Source organism: Homo sapiens, chromosome 8 (genome assembly GCF_000001405.40).
Source record: "Homo sapiens chromosome 8, GRCh38.p14 Primary Assembly".
NCBI lineage: Eukaryota > Metazoa > Chordata > Mammalia > Primates > Hominidae > Homo > Homo sapiens.
Window position 1 is genome coordinate 12,729,371 of NC_000008.11, and position 20,812 is coordinate 12,750,182.

The following is a 20,812-nucleotide window of genomic DNA, read 5'->3' on the forward strand; positions in this document are numbered from 1 at the left end:
GAAAAATATTACCGAACACATACAAAAAATGAGTGAGGTTTATAACAGTAATGAACTAATGTAAAGCAAAAAAAGAATTAGTTCTAAATAAGGTGGTTTTTATTCTTGGCAAGAACAAGAATCAGCACCCCGTTCACTAAGCTCACACTGATGAAATATTAATACTGAAAATCTGCTGTGATCCTCTTATTTATAAGAGTAAACTGAATTTTAAGACACCAGATTATCTTACAGAGCTAAGTATGTTTATGAATCAAGAGAATTTATTATAAGTAATATTTTATATTAAAATCTGTTTTAAATATTTATAACATGACAATAAATACCTTTTATCCCAAACACTCATAGTTACTCTTAGATAACAAGAAAAAGTGAACTCCCACAACAAAGAGCAAATACTTAAAAATTCTCAGCCATTATTTTCAAACGCAAGGATAAGAAAACATATTTTGATGAGATAACATTTTTTCCAAGTAATTAAAATGATATAACATTTTTCATTGCCAGATTGGTAGAAAGAAAGAGAAGGATAAAGGCAATGCCCAGTTCTGTCTGAGGTATGGGAAAAATGGCAGCATGGGGGCACTCTGAAACAGCACAGGCACGCTAAAGAACATGGCTACAGACAGCAGAAACCTTACGTTGTTGGCAGGAAATGTTCATGTTCTTGGAACCAACCAGCTTATTTTCAGACATAAGCAGGCAAGTGCTATATGAATGTTCACTGTAGCAATGTGGATAGTAACCAAATTGTAGAATCATAAAGAGGAGACTAGTAAGATCAATTATGGTACATCCATAAAACGGAATACTATGTTTCCATTAAAAGATGATGTGTATGAACTGAATTAGAAGAAATGCTTATATTAATGAGAGGAGCAGGTTTTAGATACTGATCATGAATAACATGATCCCATCTTTGTTTAAAGCCTATTTATACATACTACATTCAAGTTTGGAAATATGTATGCCAAAATGCCAATAGTTGATTCCCTTTGAGTTGCAGATTATGGCTTTTTTTAAAAGCTCATTTGTATTTTTGAGTTTTTTTCAAAATGACCATCAATTACTTATATAAACATAAGGTGAAACATGTTTAAAATATGTGTTTTAAGAAACAGCCCCATTAGTAAGCAGCTGGACACCCTGTCGCTTCTCTTCTCTCCAATGCGCAGCTCTCTGTGTGTCTCCCTCCTCTGTCCTTTGAGTCTACCACTCTTCCGTGGGCTGGCTGGTTGTGTCACCATGTTTAAATTTTCAAAAGCAGAAATGCAGTTTTCTTAAATCTAGATGCTTCAGCACTGATCAGAAAGGTTCATAATTGTCATATCATTTTATAAACCACACAATAAAATATCAATTCTGTGAGAAGACAAATCAATATCTATTTCTATAAAGAGTGGAAATCTTTCTTCTGTGGAAGGCACCTGGCTCACTGAAGACATCTGATGGGCACATGTTGATAAAGGAGTCTACAAGCACAGCTTTTCTTAGAAAGTGACATACAAAATGTTCAATTTATATTTTGAAAATCAATGGAAACAAAAAGTTGTTAAATAAAACAGCATATACAAATTATAATTTTGTTTTTTAGTGTGTTCAATTAAAAGAGAGTAAAAGAAATAAAGAAATTAAAAACCCGTTAATAAAATTTAAAGAGACCCAAGTGACTGCACAAGAGGGAAAGACATTTAGGGAAAAGAAAGGGAGAAAAACGGGAAAGAAAAACAGAAAAGGGACAACAAGCAATGCCTGGCCCTGCCTACCCAGCTCCATCAGCTGCTGTGTTCTTTGCAGAGTGGCCTGCCTTACCGAATCCCAAAGTTGCCTCCGAGATTTTCACCCTCCCGACACCAACTCAGTTGTGCTCCCAGTCAGTATCTTCATTAATTGAGGATTTGGCCCTGAACACCCCTCTTCCAATTTCAATCTCAGATCTCAAAGTTTGGAAAGCCCCCTTCCGGGCCTCCATGTGACAGAAAATCCCCTGCTAATCTAGGCTACTGACCCTCAACCTTCCTCTTGCCCTACCACGACACATGAGAGCCGCCATCACCACCAATGTCACTGTCACCAGCGCCCCCTCTCTATTTCCCATTCCACTGCCTGATGGCACTGTAGGAAATTCCTCCCCCGCCCAAAATACTGCTTCAGCCCACAGAGCTGAGTCAATAACTCCCTATAAAACATCCGGATGTTACCAAGTGAACTTTTATAAGATTCTGTCTGTTGAGGACCACGGAAACAGACCAATACTTCTTGACTAGACTGAGATGAACTAAAGACAGGATCCAGCTTGCGGTGAGGTTTTTCCTTACTATTAAAGGGTAGTAGTTCATAATTTTTTTTATGAGAAGAAACTTACTGTGAGAGTTCAGCAGTTTCTTCATCATATATTTTTTTTCTCTCAGACAGTTCATCAGGCAGATACTTCACTATTAATTCTTCCAACAGCTGTGTGACACAGTACCTCCTATCTGCTAGATACTAAAAGACAATATTATTTTACATTCCAGCAGTGGTTTTCCTACAGTATAAAACAGGCAACACAGTTAACTGATATATTAAAGCCTTTATTACATACTTATACCATCAATTCTGGATTAATTAGTGAGGGGAACATTACAATGGATGATGCTAAGCAAAAAAACCTGTCTGAGGCTTTGCACAAGAGCAGTAAAGATAGTTGGCTGCAACCTGAACCAAGCCCTGTACAGAAGAACTGCTTCCTGCTGTGACCACAGCTTCTCTATTAGCCGCAGAGGGCCCTGCCCTGCCGTCTTCCACAACAGAGGCCCTTTTCCACCTGACAGCTCATGGGCACTAAACTATCATTTTAACTGAGATACAAAAACGGGATAAGGAATAAATAAAATAACACATTTGCCTTATTTAAGAAAAGCAAAACATCTGTTTTGTTCCCAATTTCAGACACAGTCTCTAGATAAATTTTCTTTCAGATTTTTCTTCCATTGTCACCCACTATTGAGTAGAGGAGCAGACCTCAACTCTGTCCTTGAGTGACCCAAGGAAGGTGCGTTTCTTGGGACACTATCACTCAGACCCTTATCAAGATATTGCTTTTCCTGTATGATCCATCTACCCCAGCTCTATATAAAATCTTACATTTGCGCTGACCCCTAAATACTCTGAAAAAGTACTATCCTCATGCATTTTTGTGTTATTCTCTATTCCAACTTACAAAAGCCATCTCTCTCACTCCTGCTTATGCAAAACATGTCTATCCTTCAAGGTCTGACTCCAATTTTACCTTTTTCACAAACTCTTCCTTAATTATTTTTTTCTCTCCCAAGAACCCATATTTTACTGTTTTTACCACATAGTAGGCATTGTAGCGTGTAGTATATGTACACAGATATATTACATCTCTGTAGTTAAACTAAAAATTGCTTAGGGTAGGGCCAGGGACATGGTCAGGGTGTATGCACAGAACTTTGTACAAAGAAAATGCCCAATACATATTTATTTCATAAAATTAGTGAGGAAAACCTCCTGGGAAACTATCACAAGATGAAGCCATCCTTGAATCTGCAGTCAGTAAAAGCAAGGGTTTTGTCATTATCCAATGAAGAGTAGATGGGGAAATGCGAGAGGTTGGGAAACTGGTGGTGGTTTTCAAAGTTTAGCATGAATCGCGGCTTGTTAAAATACAGACTACTGAGCCCCACGCCAGAGTCTCTGAGCATCTGGGGTAGGGTCCAAGAATCTATGTTTCTAACAAGTTGTCAGGTGACAGATGCTGCTGGTCAGGGGAGCATGGGGAGAGGTGGCCTTGGGCAGGTAGTATATACACAGATAATAAGTGTTTATCACAAAATTAATCAAATTAGCTGTCATAAAAGCAATTCCATTATCATTTTCTATTAAGTTAATAAAGATGTTTAAACATCTAGGGAAATACAGCCACTCTTACATTACTGATAAAAATCTCAATAAATGTAACATTTCTGGGGATGAGGCAATCCAACAATTGGTTTTAAGGGCTTCATAAATATATGGCTTTTGATCCAATAATTCACCTCCCAAAAATTTAACCTAAGGAAATGGTTATTGCCTTATTTAAGAAAAGCAAAACATCTGTTTTGTTCCCAATTTCAGACACAGTCTGTAGATAATTTTTCTTTCAAGTTTTTCTTCCATTGTCACCCACTACTGAGTAGAGGAGCAGACCTCAACTCTGTCCTTCAGTGACAGATATATAATATCTGTCATAATATCTTCGATTACATAAAGATGCATAAAATCATTCATTTTAAATGATGTTGGCAAAAGCATAGTATATAAAAAAGAGAACAAGAAACCTTATATATCCAACAACAAAGAAATGTTAAATCACTGGACTATTATGCTGCTATAAAAACAATGTATCTAAAATAGATGGAAATGGAAAAATGAGCAAAATAAAATGACAAGTAGGAAAAATGTAAAACTGAACAGCATACCAATCTTTTTTAAAGTATATGTATTTTGAATTTACAAATTATATTACGCAGGGTATCTTCAAAGTTGGAAACAGGATATTGCTAAATAGTATGTTAGTTATACTTTCAAAAAATATGCTTAGTATATATTTTTCAATCTCCAGACATTTTTTAAAGAGGGAATATCCCTAATCAAAGCAATAGATCTAATATTATGCCAAAAACCACAATTACTTTTGCACCAACCTAACAGTTAATCTGGAAAAACAAGCATCATAGTTATCCTGGGGGGGTATTTAAATGAAGTCTGGAAAAATAGCATGTTTACAGTACTTCATCTAAAAACATTGAGCATATTAGCTAAAAATGTAACTAACAAACTCTTTTAAGAATAAATGTATCTGATGTTTCCTGACTTTGAGAAAATTCTAAATATGCTTTTGTTTTACATATCAGCTTGTTATATATGTAAGACACATATCAAATGTAATAACAGACATGCTATTATGACATCCGTACTGAGTTGTTTTCTATACAGGAAATACTGTATGTATATTCATAATGGTTTTATGAATTTTTCAATTCATATTTGGAAGATACTTTTTTTTAAGCAATCCTGTCAATCACCAGAGACAGAATCACTTTCCCCAATCAACGCTACAAACTGCAATTGCCTCTCAGAATCACAGGCTTTAGCCTGACAGTAGGTGATCTGCAGTCACTCAAGCATGATTAAGAGGGTGCTCTCTTCTCATCAATTAGAGAAGACATCCACTGAGATCTAGCTACTTTCCTATCACAGGTTATTAGCACTGATCACTGACTCTACAAGAAGGGGAATAGGAAGCTGTACCTCCCTCTCTTCTTTCCAATCTACCACTTTTCTAGAGCTGCATTGCCCAATGTCGCAGCCATTAGTCACATGTGCCTACTTAAATTTAAGTTAATAAAATGTAAATATAGTTCCTCAGTGACACTAACCATATTTAAAAGCTTAACAGGCAAACATGGCTAATGGCTAATATATCTGACAGCAAAGATATGGAACATTTCCATCAATGCAGAAAATTCTATTGAACAAAGTTGTTCTAGATGTTGAGGAAGCTGAAACAGTCCTCACATCTGGCTTATTATTGAGGGTTGGAGGCAGGGCAATAGGGTTTCCCCAGTATAGTCATCACCAAAATTGAACTTATCCCTGACCAGATAACTAACCATACCCACTTTTGTTTAAAAAAAAAAAATTAAGTACAAGGGGGTTGGTCTTCAGCATCTGTCTTCTTTCTCCCCATCCTCTTCAACCTCACTTTTCTCCAACATTAGCATATGGGTAATAAAACATTATCCTTGTTAGTCACTCAGAATATAGAATGTAATTCTGAACGTGATCATCACTATTTCTATGGCTGAACAGAAATTAAACCATGCTGCCAAACTTAAGACCAACAAACAGACACATATACAAATATTTACCTCTTTTAAGCTTTCTTTGCAAAGAGGACAATATGGTGCATGATCTAAACAACGCTCAAGACAATTCTTACAGAACGAATGTCCGCAAGGGGTTGTTACTGGCTCAAAAAACAACCTGAAATCAACCAAGATACATGTTAGTTTTCACATTAAACTATCCACTGAAAAGCTTGTACTACTTTAGAACCATAACACTAATCTCTATTTAAAGGAGGAAGAAGGAGGGCCCAGCAGGCAGGAGAGGAGAGAAAGGGCAGTGATAAGTGTAACCATACCCTCCAGAATGTTTTAAAATTCTCCATCAACAAAGGCCTCCTGCCAAAGGCCTAGAGCCAAGGGCCTAGAGCTGTCCTGACTAACGCAACAGCCCCTGGACACTATGGCTACTAATCACTTGAAATGTGGCTAGTACAAGCTGATATGTGCACTGAATGTAAAATACATACCAGATTTCAAAGACTTTCTGCAAAATAAATAATGTAAAATACATCATTAAAAATCATTAGTTAGCTTTTGTATAGCCTTTAGATTCCCATTTTAATATCAACTTAAAAATGATTCCTTAATAGGTTTATAAGACCCTTATGATATAAAACTCATAAAAAGAATGACCTAATAAATAATGCAGTTGAATCCTAATGTTAGACTTAATACTAAATGTATTATTCAAACATTACAGAACAACTAGTTTTACTTATTTTCTGAAACATGATAGTTTTGAATTTGCTAGAAATAGATTTAGAGGTACTTTAGGGACTGTTTAGTATAATCCCCTCACTTCACAGATGAAGAAACCAAGGCTCAGAATTAAGACTTGCTCAGGAATGTAACTGCTACCAGCCTAGTGTGACCAGCACTAGGCCTCCTGACCCCGTATGAATCTTTTGATCCTACACAATTCATGTAAATGAGAAATGTTATTTCAAAACATTTAGTCTTTTAGAATTATAGCATTCTGAATAATGGAAATCCTTATCCTTATGTTACTTTAAAAAGACTTTATGGTTAATATACATTAATAAGATAGGATCATATACATAAAATACTAATTAGAATTCATACCCAAATTTAAAACCATGGAGATAGGTAAGTTTCAAAAATAATATCATCTATAACTTTCTTAGTACTTTACAATTTCCCAGATTCCTTTTATACTGAAGCCATGTGATTCTCACAACAATGAGATGTAGGCCATGCAAAGCTTGATCCCACTTTCTAAATTAGGAAACCTGAGGTTCAGAGATTCAGTTATTTGCCCAAGGCATGAAAGGTAAACCCAGGACTAAAATTCATGTCTTTTGATTTTTATTCCAGCATTGTGTTACTTTACATTGTCTATTATTACCTTTATCTACACGGTATTTTATGTATACTAACATAAAATATTCATCTTCTATAAAGTTTTATATGCTTACCTCATGCAGAGAGAACACTCGAAATCTGAGACATCGATTAATTCTTCTGGAATATCACCATAAGCTAAGGAAAACATACAGACTTCATTGGGAGTTTCTATTAAAACAAAGACATGGGGTTTTCTTCCTTAGGAAAAACTTTAAAGACTATTCTGACTAAATAAATTTATTTTATATAAGTGTAGAGCAAAATTTTTACCTCCTTGTTTTTTCAGCTTATTTCTTCCATCTTCATTTACAATCACATCCTGTTCTAAAAGAGACAACTTTCTTTTCAGCAGAACACCTTTTTCTTGAACTGACAGAACAGGTTCTGAGGACACTCTTTTTAAACAGTCCTCTCTGGCAGGCATTTCTGTTGAATTTATAGACTGTGCTGACTGAGCACGGTTTAAGCTTCCTTTGACAGGCTCTGAAGTGACCTCTGGTATTTCTTCACTCTACAAAAATACAATAAACAAAGGTAACTGTATTTCTTTACTATCCTTTATTCCTCTCACCAAGAATCAAACTGAAATGAAATTTCAATGCCTTATAATGCTCATTTTAATGTTCATTTAATAGCACTAACTTGATTCCAACACTGTGACAAGTAAATGATTTTTGCCAGCACAGTTGGCCCTCCGTATCCACAGGCTCTGCATCCGTGGGTTCATCCAACTGGGGATAGAAAATATTCTAAAAAAAAGCCTGAACATATATCGACTTTTTTCTTGTCATTATTCCCTAGACAATACAGTATAACAACTATTTACATAGTATTTACATTGTATTAGGTATTATAAGTAACCTAGAGATGATTTAAGTATACAGGAGGATGTGCATAAGTTATATGCAAATACTGTGCCATTTTATTAATATATCAGGGACTTGAGCATCCTTGGATTTGCTATCTGTGAGAGGTCCTGGAACCAATCTCCCACAGATACAAGGGATGACTGTACTTACACAGCCCTAGAAATCAAGGTGACTTATGTTATAATGAGGTTTAAAAGTAGTTATGCTATAACACAGCTGTTACTACCCTGAGGAAACATAAATGCAATGTTCTATACATATTTTTAAAGAACTAAAAGTTTTCTTTCACGGGACCTAAAATTGTGATTCATTAGCAAATATTTTACATAAAAGATTTTAGTGTAAAGTAAAGGCTATGGAAAAAATTCTACTATGATAACTAACCAGGTTAAAAGTACTTAAGTAGGTGCTAGTACTTGAAACTAGGAAAGTGAAGCTCTTAACTCGTAAAGAAATGGATACGCTAAACTCATGATAACCTTGTCTCACCCCGTACCTGCTTTGGGCTAGGTTCATTGAGAGACTGAGACTCTTCCATCACTGAATGAAAATCAAAAGGTCTGTTTTTAGTACATGGTAATGAACTCCAGGAAGATTCCTTCAGGCCTTCTTTTAAGTTTTCAGGTAATAATAAATCACATAAAATCTGTAAGAGAAATATTAAAAGTAGTAGAAAATATAAAATATTTGGTTAAGGATAATTTTGTATAAATTTACCTAATAAAGAATATGTAGAAAGTTTGTAGCAGACATTTTTTTAATGAGCAGGAGGGGAACAAGGTAAGCAACACTGTAAGTTCAAAAGTCTTGCAAAATTAGGTGTGCCTCATGGGGTCAAATCACCCGCAAACAAATGATTCAAAACTTTGAAAGGAAAGCATGGGAGTAGTAAGACTCAGGATAAAGGCTGATCTTTCAACACAAAGACTATAAAAAGATCTTAAAAGACATATTAAATATTTATCTCTGAATCTTAGTGAGCCCTATGCTATCAAAATAGTTCATGGTTCACCTCAATGTATATTTACGAAGTTGGCCTTGGGGCACTTATGTGAACTACACTTGGACTTCTAACTACAAAACTACAAAATTCCCTGTACTTACACTCAATTTAATTTCTCACTGAATAACTAACCTGTGTGGGCAGTTACTGCTGCCCAATACTTGGTTAGAAGCACCCCATGGCAGCTTCCCTATAATAGCGAGGAAATAAGCTGGGAGACAGCTGGAGAATCAAATTTCTGGGTGCTTACCTCAGGAATATGCCTAAAACTCCAACAGAAACAGGTTAAGATAGGGGAAGAACATGGCTAGAATGAAATGAAAGGGATTCTGATATTTTTGGTGGTCAAACAATCTGTATTTATAGGTATAGCACATATTAAAGTCTAAATTGGAGGTTCGGTTTTTCAGCTGTTATCTTTCAAATACACAAAAATCAAAATAAATCACAAATCATTTATGGAAATATAAACAATGTAGATAAAAGCACGTATCTTTGGTAGGTGCTCAAATACTCCATTTAATAAGCAAACATTTAAAAATCTGTATATACACATTTACATTTCCTCTGTTTTAAAAAATAAATTAAACACACATCCACCCTAGAACCCAGCAATTCCACTGCTAAGTTTTTGCCAAAGGGATGTAAAAACATATGTCCACAAAATGACTTGTACAAGAATACTCATAGCAGCTTAGTTTATATCAGGAAAAAATACTGGAAACAATCCAAATGAAAATCACTACTAACTGAAAACCACAAATTCCATTATGTTCATATAATGGAATACTTTAAAAAACAATAAAAAATGACTAGATGTATCTAAAAAATATGTTCAGCAAAAAAAAAAAAAAAAAACAAACCCAGACACAAAACAGTATATATTGTATGATTCCATTCCAATGAAGTTCTAGAATAAGTAACACTACTCTACAGTGACAAAAATCTGAACAGTAGTTGCCTCTAGGAGCAGGGGATGGAGGATTTACTGGAAAGGAGATGAAGGTACTTTCTAGGGTGATGGAAATATTCTCTGTTTTGATTGGGATGCTGTTACACAGGTACATACATTTTTCAAAACTCACTGACGTGTAAAATCCATGCATTTTATTATATGTAAATTATACCACAACTTAGAAAAAGTATATTGGAGAAAAACAAAATATTCTAAAGCATTATTTGTTTTGCATCTACCTGATCCTATTAACCAGCAAACAAATAGTTACAGAAATAGAAGGATGTCTGGCAGCATGCAAAATGCAGAAACACATGCTCTTAAAATTAAAGTTTGCAGTCTTACCAAGAAGATAACACTAACGAACATGGAACAGTCAGAAAACAGACAATAGTAAACATTTTCTTCTTAAATCAGTGGGCTAGAATGTATATACAAACAAACCTCATAGAGGCTATACCAATGCCAGCTGGATTCTTAAGGCGGCTGAGATCTGAGAACAATCTCAAAGTTCTCATGCTTCAGGGTACAAAAACATCTCCTGGGATGCTTCTTAAATGACTGCTCCAATTTTAGAGATTCTGAATCAAAGACTTGTAGTTGGTGGGCCCAGGACTCTTTAGGTTTAACATGATCCCCACATGATTCTGACAAAAAGCCACACTCTAAGAAACACTGATAAATAACGTGGCATGTTTTGAGTATGTGCAGGAAAGCATCATGACTGGGACCCTGAATTTGTATTAGCATAGATTTTCTCAAAGAATTTTTCGAAGATATTCTGTGAATAAGTCTTGCAAGAGCTGAGTGCTATTTTATTTCATGCTGGCATATCAAAAGCTATGAAACGTTCTGGAGAAACCTAATTAACTTGGCTTAACCCAATGCTTCCCAAAGTCACTTCATCAGACAGCTCCCTTCCTTCCCCCATCTCCTATCTTTAAAAATTAATTACTAACACACCACAAATAGAACAAAGTATGGAAAGTGACATATGGAGTATTGAAAAAACTAAGGCAAAACAAGTGGACTGAGCAATACTATTGGCAATCCTGCGGAGTAAGCAAAGGTTAGACCTGAAGTAAAAGGCAAAAGGCAGGTCAGTAAGGCTTCTGAGCAGGAACATCGTGATAGTAATGCTTAATTAAGGACCATCAGTCTGGCTCAGATTGAACAAACTATTAGAATACTAACCAAAAAAATGCATTGAAATATCTGTGAATGAAATGTTTCGATTTCACTAAGAACTCAATATAATACGTACATGAACCTGAAAACCACTCAAATTATCACATTTGTTCCTAAGTTAGATTTATTTACTACTTATGTTCTTATTCCAACTTTTATTAGCTTTTTTTTTTAAACCTGTCTGCCTCTTAGCCCTACCATGAACTGTAATTGTTGGTAAACTGATTACCTTTTGTACTTGCAGCTTTGCAGGTGCAAAATCTTCATCAAGGGCTAAGCACTGAAGAAAGAGTTGTAAGGCATCACCTAAAAAACCAGCATCGCAGAGTACTTTTCCTTTCCTGAAGTAGACCTTTAATAAAAGCAGATATATAAAACCTTTGTGTTAAGAATTGCTTTTTAAAAAATCATTATCAAGTAAAGAAAAACAATAGTCTGCTCAGCAGTGCCGATTCTGGGCCGGGTGCAGTAGCTCACGCCTGTAATCCCAGCACTTTGGGAGGCTGACAAAGGTGGATCACTTGAGTTCAGGAGTTCGAGACCAGTCTGGTCAACATGGTGAAACCCTGCCTCTACTACAAATGCAAACATTAGCCAGGCACGGGGGCATGCACCTGTAATCCCAGCTAACTGGGAGGCTAAGGCATGAAAATCACTTGAATATGGGAGGTGGAGGTTGCAGTGAGCTGAGATCACACCAATGCACTCCAGCCTGGGTGACGGAGTAAGACTCTGTCTCAAACAAACAAAAAAAGGAAATGCAGATTTTGAAATTCTGAATAATTGAGGCCAAAGCATTTTAAAGGCATACCTACACACCACCCTGGAGAAGCACTAACAGGGGAACTGAGGCCCAGACAATGACTTTTTCACCAAAGTTCCACACCAAGTCAGAGCTGGGCAGGATCAGAAATACCATGTCCCCACAATTTAAGGAAATTACTGATTTAAATATTATTGATTTAATTTGAGGGAAAAGGAAATTATACGTAAAATTATACTGACTAAGAATCCATCAAAATTAAAGAAATATTAAAATGTGAAAAAAATTTTGTCTTAGATTTAGGGCAGTATGGTAAATTTCTTCCAAGTTATTAGGAATGTATAATTGCCCATGAAATTTTTTAAGGAAGTACTTATAGACATGACACTTTTCATAAATCCCTTATTTTGTCTTTCACTTTTCTCCTTCATAATGTGAGTTCAGCAAACTCTATGACAAAAATTAGAGTCCTACTAATTATCACTGATAAACCCAAAATTCAGTCCTGTGGGTTGGTCCACCAACAAAGTATCAACTGGTAAGCTTTAAATGTTCCTTGCTTATGTGATTAGAATGAAACAGATTCTTAGTATTAAATAATATCAGAGGAGCCTAAAGAACGTTCTAGCCAAACAGTTTTTTAGCTACCACTTTAATGGCTGAAGAAAACCTTTCTGATTACATCACTTCTGTGGCAAATCCAAAAGATTCCTTTTCAATAGTTTTAAAGCCATGCACACTGACCACTGCCCTCTTATTCTGAATACATTTACTTTGTACTAACCAGTCATGCCATCATGAGATTTCGTATCATTTCTCTAATTAATTTATACTTTTTAGAGCAGCCTTACTACACTGTCCTCAAAGACACAGTTTTGAATGGAGGGAAAAGGTCACTTAAAAGAGTAACTTATATCTTAAAGAACACATTTGGACTAATTTGCCTTGACAATTTGATAAAAAGGAGAATCTGTAAACTGACTGTATGTTATACACATTCCTAAGTCTTTTTAAAAGCCACATGGGCAAGGCAACTTCCTTTGTCCCTATCTTCTGAATTAAATCACTGCCTAATCATCTAGTTACCATATAATACCTCAAAAAGTTTCCAACTTTAAGAACCTATTCTCTTTCCATTAATAAATCTCATTCAATGAAGTCCAGTTTGTATCCATCTTCACAATATGGCAAGTTGTATTTCTTTGCAGACATTTTGTATAATAAAGTCTTTTTTTTTCCTGTACCATGAATTGTTTGTTCCTTATTTATGAAAGAAAAGTCTCTTATAATTTAAAAAATTGTGAGATGATACTCCTCCACTCAAAATATTGAACCTAGATTTTTTTTGAGACAGGGTCTGACACCAAGGCTGGAATGCAGTGGCACTTCAGTGGCACAACCTCAATCTCCAGGGCTCCAGTGACCTTCCCACTTCAGCCTCTCGAGTAGTTGGGACTACAGGCACAAACAACCATGCCAGGCTCATTTTTGTGTTTTTTGTAGAGATGGGGTTTCAACATGTTGCCCAAGCTGGTCTCAAACTCCTGGGCTCAAGCAATCCGTCCAACTCAGCGTCCCAAATTGCTAGGATTATGGAAATGAGCCATTGCACCTAGGTGAACCTATATTTCTAGAGCACTAGATATTTTATTTGGAGTCAACCATCTACTTTGTTAAAATTCCTAACTGTGAATGAATGCATGTCCCTTATAGTTAAAATTTTACAATTTATGCAAACATAAAACAGTAATTTTACCTCAGGCCAATCTGGAAGTTGAAAAAGAACTGCATTTAAATCTTCTATGGCTGCTTTAAACTCTTGGAGACCAGCATATGATTCCGCTCTGTAAATTTTTACAATCAAGTCACTGGGTTCTGAAATAAATATTTTATAAGGATATGATTATTTTTAAAAGATTATTACATAATCTACAAAATATGATCATACCAGATTAAGAAATGACTTAGTGATTCCAGGGTTAATAATCACCAAACTAAAGTCTATAAGCCAAAGGCAGTATAGGCACAACCCATTTTACGTGTTGAATCTTATCTAGAAGTTGTATCAAATCATTGTAAGTAGATCATTTTAGTGGAGGAAACTGTTTTCCAGAATACTGTAAATACTTTTATAATATGAATAATCACTCCTAAGAAAACTTTTTTTTTAACAAAGGGTAGTCTATAAAGATTTTAAAGACATATTTCTTAGATGTTTAGATTTGCCTTTTTATAGTAAATCTTATATTTTTACCCTACTTTCTAAATCTTCATTTATAAAAATAGCCATACGTGTAACTATTACATATGGAATTCCCACGGTGACAAGGGACTGATAAAGGCTCAATCTTATGAGCATACACAGTAGTCTTGATTCTGGAGGAAATGGGTTAATAAGAGTCAGCTTTTAAGAGATCGAATTTTAATTCCTGCCATTAGCAAAAACAGTATTGGCCCAATTCAAAATATATTTAATTTAAAATACTCCTGAGAAAAAACGCTTTGTGATTCATTTCACTATCATCCACATCTGTACTTAAGAAGCCAAATTATTATCCTATGGCATTCAGAATTTCAGACACTTAGCTGGTTCACTGATATTACTGCAATCAATTACTACAGGTACACAGATTCTAAAACTGATGTCCAAGCAAGACATTAATTTATAATATAGCAACAAATGACATTAACTTGACTCTTATTTTAAAGCTATCTTTGAGATCTTTAAAAGCATAAAGTATTCATTGTAAGATGGGCATAAAGACCTTAATGCCTCTAAATAAAATTTAATAAAATTTATCAATAGCTGCCGGGTTTACTCTAGTTTTTAGATGATTGCTTTTCTATTCAAAACTCTCACTTGAGCAATTAATTTAGGAAGGCCTCTTTCAGTTGCTGGTGCCTGAGAACTGGGATTACAATGTTCTCAGAATTTTATATCAACGAAAACATTTAAAGAATAAAATTAATATTTTATAAAAATGTTTTACTTGTTAAAAAAAGACATGTCTAGAATATTGTGTCTTGTGCTTCTTAAAGCAATGAAAAATTATCTCTGAACAAAATGCATAAGAATTAAAAGTTCAATATGATTAATCAATCAAGAATTAAGAGTTCCTAGCACAAACCTAGACCCTGTAGGTATTCAAAAATGTTTTACATTATTCCTGTTTTTGAGGAGCTTATAATCTAGCTAGAAAATTTTACTGTCAAACAGCATCATGCAATACTGACTTGTCAAGTACAACTGGAGGTGAGAAAACAGAGCAGCGTATGGCAAAATAGTCTAAGAACAAGTAGTAAAAGCATCAGCATCAAAAACTCCAGGCTATAAAAGACTAGGCTCAGAAAGTGCAGTTTTCCACCCACAGCTGGGGTGCTTCCAATAGCATCCTTGAGACAGACTCCGCTCTAGTACCTCCAGCGAGGAGTTCACTACTGCAACAAGCAGCCCATTCTTGGATTTTTATTTTTTTTAACTTCCATTTTTTCTTATACATCAAGTTCTCACTCCTTTATATTTGATGACATGCACGTTCAGAACTGCTGAATATTTCCCCTTTTATCCATGCCTTCACTGCTCAATCACCTTTATACAGTTTCTTTACGGCAGCAGTGAAAGAAGTGACTCAGAAGACCCGTCTTTGAAAAAACAAACTATAAAATGTATCCACTCTGACCAAAGCAAAAAAAGACATATTCCTTCCCCTCTCCACACAGAAAAATTCGGGATATTGAGATCTCCCTAAAGGAGGTCCTAAAAAGTCAGTATATGTTGGGGTAAGAAGAGAAGATGCACGCCCTAAGTAGAGATAAAAAGAGCCAGATTTTAAAACTCTTTGTTCCCTAACTCCTTGTATGTAATGCTCTTATTGAAAATGTTAACCGATTATTTTGAATGATTATTTTTTTGGAAAAAAAAAAAAAAAAAAAAAAAACCAACCCCATCAGGTGAGTTCAAACTTCCAATACTTTTAAAAAAAGATTAGGACCATCACACTGATCTCAAATTCTTAAGCGCCAAGTGCGCTAAATGAGCCCCTTTGAAAAGCATACACAAGGTCTGCCTTCCACGTAAACTTTCAAGAAAGACAACAAAATGGCTATCAGTCCTGACTGTATCATTAACTTAAGTTTGAAAGAGTCAACAAGTATTTACTGTATGCTCTCTACGTGACCTTGAGGACACTACAGACGAGTCACCTCACTGCACACGCCATCAGGGAAGATGCTGGTGCTCACTCCATTACTGCAGGTATCTGTATTGCCCAGCAAGTGCCTGGCATATTATGTATTTTCCATTTTTGAAATCGACAAAATTTCAAAAGTTGTCAAAATTTTGACAACATTGACAAAATCCAAAGACAACATGGTTTGGGTTAATTGTATTGAATATGACTGTGGTACTTAACTCTGTGACCTTATTCTAAATCACTTAATATCTCTGGTCTTGTACCCATATCTACCAGAAGCAGGGACAGATGTGCTAGTTGTCATGATTTAACTCCCTGATCTTTATCTTTAGTCCTGATTTTTCACCCTAACTTCAGATTCATCAAATTTCCAACTGCCTGCCATAATTTTTCTAAACTCAGCATTCTTCACCAAAAAAGCATTTTTCATTGTATTCTCTATTATTGACACCACTAACTTCCCAAATCAGAATCAACTTTGTAAATGTCACCTCCTATGATATTCCTCAAATCTCCCCTTTTCCAATCCTATCTCTAGTAATCCTGGGTTAGGCTCCCCAAATCTCTAATACTATTGCAATAGCTTGCTCACTGATCTCCCTGCCTTCAGTTCTACTCTACCTATATCCTTACCATTCACAAGGTAAAACAGGTATTATTTAGTACAAGTTCCTCCATGCCTGGCTCCTGCCCATCTCTCCAGCCTTAATTATCATTATGAACCTTCCCACTCACTCAAAGTCCCAACCATACCTAACTACCCACACTGCCCCATGTACACCATTCTATTTCATGCCTCATTCCTGTGCTGAGCTCCTCCCTTACCATACCATTCTTTATCTTGATAAGTTTTTATCATCCAGCAAGACAGCTCACCAGTCTCCTCCCAAGATGCTTTGCTTTGGGTCTTCCTCCACAATTTATGATAACCACTAAGAGCATGATCTGGCTCTTCCACCCACTCACTGTGACTTGGGGTAAATTACAAGTAATCTCTGTACTTTAATTTCCTTAGCTTTAATATTCCGGGGCTTTTAAAACATTATTAACACCACTATGTGCTGTTCTAAATGATTTACAATCTTCAGCACAATTCTACATGGATCTAGGATTGTCCACATTTTTATAGAAAACAGTGAAGAGTATATGCAGCTTGCCCATGATCATACAGCTAGTAATTGGTGGATTCGAGATTCTAACTCAGGAAGCCAGCTCCAGAGTTCTAGCTGTTTACCTCCATGCTATTAATATGTTGGTAACAGTCTCTACCCCAAGGCTTACTCTAGAGAGTAAGTTAATCGGTGCATAGTACTTAGAACAGGGCTTGGTACATTGAAAGCATGGCGTGTTTGCTATTATGATTCTGTGCCTTCATCGTATATATACATTATTTATTAAAGTAATTTAATTCAAAGATGTTTGAACTCCCTCCGTTATTTCCTGCCTTTTATCCTCAGATCCTGGCTTTGATAAATGTTTCCTGAATTAGAAAAAATTCATTAAAATTTGATTCCTTAAGCTCAATTCATGTTCCCATTTTCTCCTTTTATACCCAGTATTATTTGTAAGTCATTCAGCAAGGAAAAAGATTTAAATAAGACTCTGCTCCACCATCTGAGGAATCTAGTCTTCGGCTGTCCAAAGCATTTATTTCATGGGTTGAAGAGAGAGTTTTCTATTCTAGAGTCATGGTTTTCTATCTTTGTTCCAATCATTAGAGATCCATGGTTAGTAACAGGTCTTAAAGTTGTTTCTTTAGTTCACCTTCAAGAAAGTTTTTTTCAAATCACAAAAGCTTAAAAAATGTTTACTCATACAATTTGAAAAATATAGAAATAAGAGGTAAAAACTATCTTTTACCCATCACAAAGAAATAGCCAGTGTTGGTGTTAACAAAAGAAAAAATTAGCACAAATTTAAGGTTCGAATTGACTTTTATTTGTGATTCTAGGAATGGGCAACAGCTCATTCTATAAAATGGGTCTTCTAATGAGCTAAGCAGAGGAGGTTAGCCTTCTAGGCAGAAAAGGTTTAAAGAAAGCAGAAATAAGGGACAAAAAGTAGATTGGTTGTTTTAAAGTTGAAAACTTTCTTTACAGGTTAAAACAGAGAGGGCTGTCTTATTTCACTAACTCAGGTTGACTGAAATCTCTCTCTTTTTTTTTTTTTTTTTTAGAAAACTGGCTCATTTCAGTTCAAATTCAAAGTTCAGTTTGATTATGTGGCACTCAGCACAAGGGCCTCCATTCTAATTCTGTCTGGTCTGCTGGTGCCTAGTGCAGGTCAGTCTAAAACAAACGGCCTCCCATACATTTTTGTTCTTTATGTGTAAAGTACATTTTTAACATGTAGTTTTATAAAATATACTATATATGCTGTTTATAATCTGCTTTTTTTCCCATGTAATACTAGTCCACATGATTTTTAATAGTTGCAAAATATCCTACTATATATACAACCTATTTAAAAATTTCCTACTCTGCAATTAAGTTACTTCCAACTTTTGGCAGTATAAAAAGTATAACAAACGTCTATCTTTATGTACCTGCTTGCCTTTTTAGTTATTTGCTATACAGTATGTAGAAAGTTATTTATTGCTTGTACTTTATTTATTTGAGAAAAGATCTAAGATCTCACTCTGTAGCCCAGGCTGGAGTGCAGTGGCATTAACATGGCTCACCGCAGCCTCGACCTCCTATGCTCAATAGATACTCCAGCCTCAGTAGCTGGGACTCCAGGTGCATGCCTCCACACCTGGCTAATTTTTAAATTTTTTTGTACAGATACGGTACCACTATGTTGCCCAGGCTGGTCTCAAACTCTTGGGCTCAAGTGGTCCTCCCTCCTTGGCCTCCCAAAGTTTTGGCATTATATGCATGAGCCACCATGCTGGGCCTAGAAAGTTATAAAGATATACAACATTTCCAACACATTCTGCCAACCCTTCTTTTATAAAGACTTTATTTTATACTCCCACAAGCTGTGTTTCTTCTCTTTGCTAGAAATACATAAATTAAAAATAGCATCGTAATTTTAACAACCTCCATTTCTTCATTAAGTTTGACCTTTAAAACTTTGTGTTTATTCAGTATTTGGGCTGTGTATAAAGTTCTCTATTCATATTCCTTTTCTCATTTTTCTGAGTGTCTTTTTCTGAGATTTATATATCAAGCTATCGAAATTTTCAAAGGCTAACCAGAATATCAATTTTTTTTTTTTGCTTCTATTGCTTCATTATGTTCAGTATAGTATGACTTGGTTACCAGGGTTGAGCTCAAAGCTGCCAAGTGATAAGCTGTTGATCATTGATTAAGAATGTTCAGGAGTAGGAGTTTGGGATAGTAAGATCATTAACACTAGATTCAGAAATTGGGTTCAGATCCCCTTTTGGTAGTTTAACTCTTTGAACTCTCCTGACCTATAATATGCTTACCTCTAAAACACCTACATTTTATAACTGCTGTGAGGATTGAATAAGATAATGCATGTTAAACAGTTAACACCAAACCTAAGACATACATGCTCCATCTATAATAATTGTTGATAACATTCCAAAATATCTCAAAACAAAGTGATGAAGATATTAGATTAACCCTTGATACAAGATACAGAAGAGTATTTTCTACCTTGTCTTTTACCCACATAAATGGTAGCCTAGATAAGAAACATCTTTAGGGATCAGGAGAGCAGACTGGACAACAGACAGCACAAAGGTGGGTCAAGGGGATGGGAAGCAAAAGACCTTACCAAAGGGAAAGAAAAAACCAAACAGAAGCTTCCATCTTGCATTTTAGAGTTCCCTGAAGTCATTCAACTTCAATAATAAAACAATTCCAATTTTGAGAAATACCTTTGGAAAGAGGCAGAACACTATACAAATTCATTTAAAATTTTACTCGAGATTTTCCAAGGCTCTTAGAAATATTCCAACAAACAGAAAAATGATTCTGAATAAACAAAAAGTTAATATATAAATAACTAGAAATCTAAGATAATTCAGTTTTGGTAAATTCTGCATTTGATGAATGAAAAACAGTTAAAAAACAAATTATTCATTTGAAATGGGACACTTGAATCAGTTTTTTTATCATTTATATCAAAAGCCATTACAGTTGATCTTTTTAGTAACCCTGAGGCACTAAGAAAAAAAATCCTTAAAGTACCTTATGAATCAAAGAAAATAATTAGAGATATAGTCTCGGTTAAGTAGAAGCCAATTAAGCAGTAAACCCCATTTTCTAGGGATTTTCAATTTGCTGCAATTACAAAAGAAACAAAAAATACAAACTCTACAAGGACAGGGACTTTATTTTACTCCTTTTTTATATTTCTAGCACCTAAAACAATGCCTGGTATATAGTAGCTACTCAATAAAAATTTGCTGAATAGTAAGAATATTTTAGATTTATGTTTTGCGTGCTAATTTTTAAATCAACTTTGTGTTTTGAATCAATATGCACATATTTGGGTTCTGCTTTCAGTTTTAACTTGGTCACTTACTTCCCTTAAGAAAGTCACCCAAAATTCTTGCAACTTTTCTTACATCTGTGAATTAGGGATATTAATACTTGCCCTCCTATCT

At 35.2% G+C, this 20,812-nt stretch overlaps 1 protein-coding gene across 7 annotated transcripts in view; it reads right to left on the reverse strand.

Annotated features, from left to right (window-relative positions):
- Positions 1-20,812, reverse strand: part of LONRF1 (LON peptidase N-terminal domain and ring finger 1) — a 33,621-nt gene that overhangs the window by 7,465 nt on the left and 5,344 nt on the right. For 2 of the 7 annotated variants that reach the window (NM_001329976.2, XM_047422414.1), the window contains exons 2-8: positions 13,794-13,912; positions 11,504-11,626; positions 8,625-8,774; positions 7,530-7,770; positions 7,331-7,394; positions 5,916-6,030; positions 2,366-2,487 (exon numbers count right to left, since the gene is read on the reverse strand). In NM_001329976.2, coding sequence (NP_001316905.1) covers positions 2,366-2,487; positions 5,916-6,030; positions 7,331-7,394; positions 7,530-7,770; positions 8,625-8,774; positions 11,504-11,626; positions 13,794-13,912 — 934 coding nt within the window. Of the gene's footprint in view, positions 1-2,365; positions 2,488-5,915; positions 6,031-7,330; positions 7,428-7,529; positions 7,771-7,901; positions 7,991-8,624; positions 8,775-11,503; positions 11,627-13,793; positions 13,913-20,812 lie in introns of those variants that run through there. The other 5 variants (NM_152271.5, XM_011544694.4, NR_138256.2 and 2 more) reach the window with 4 other exon arrangements.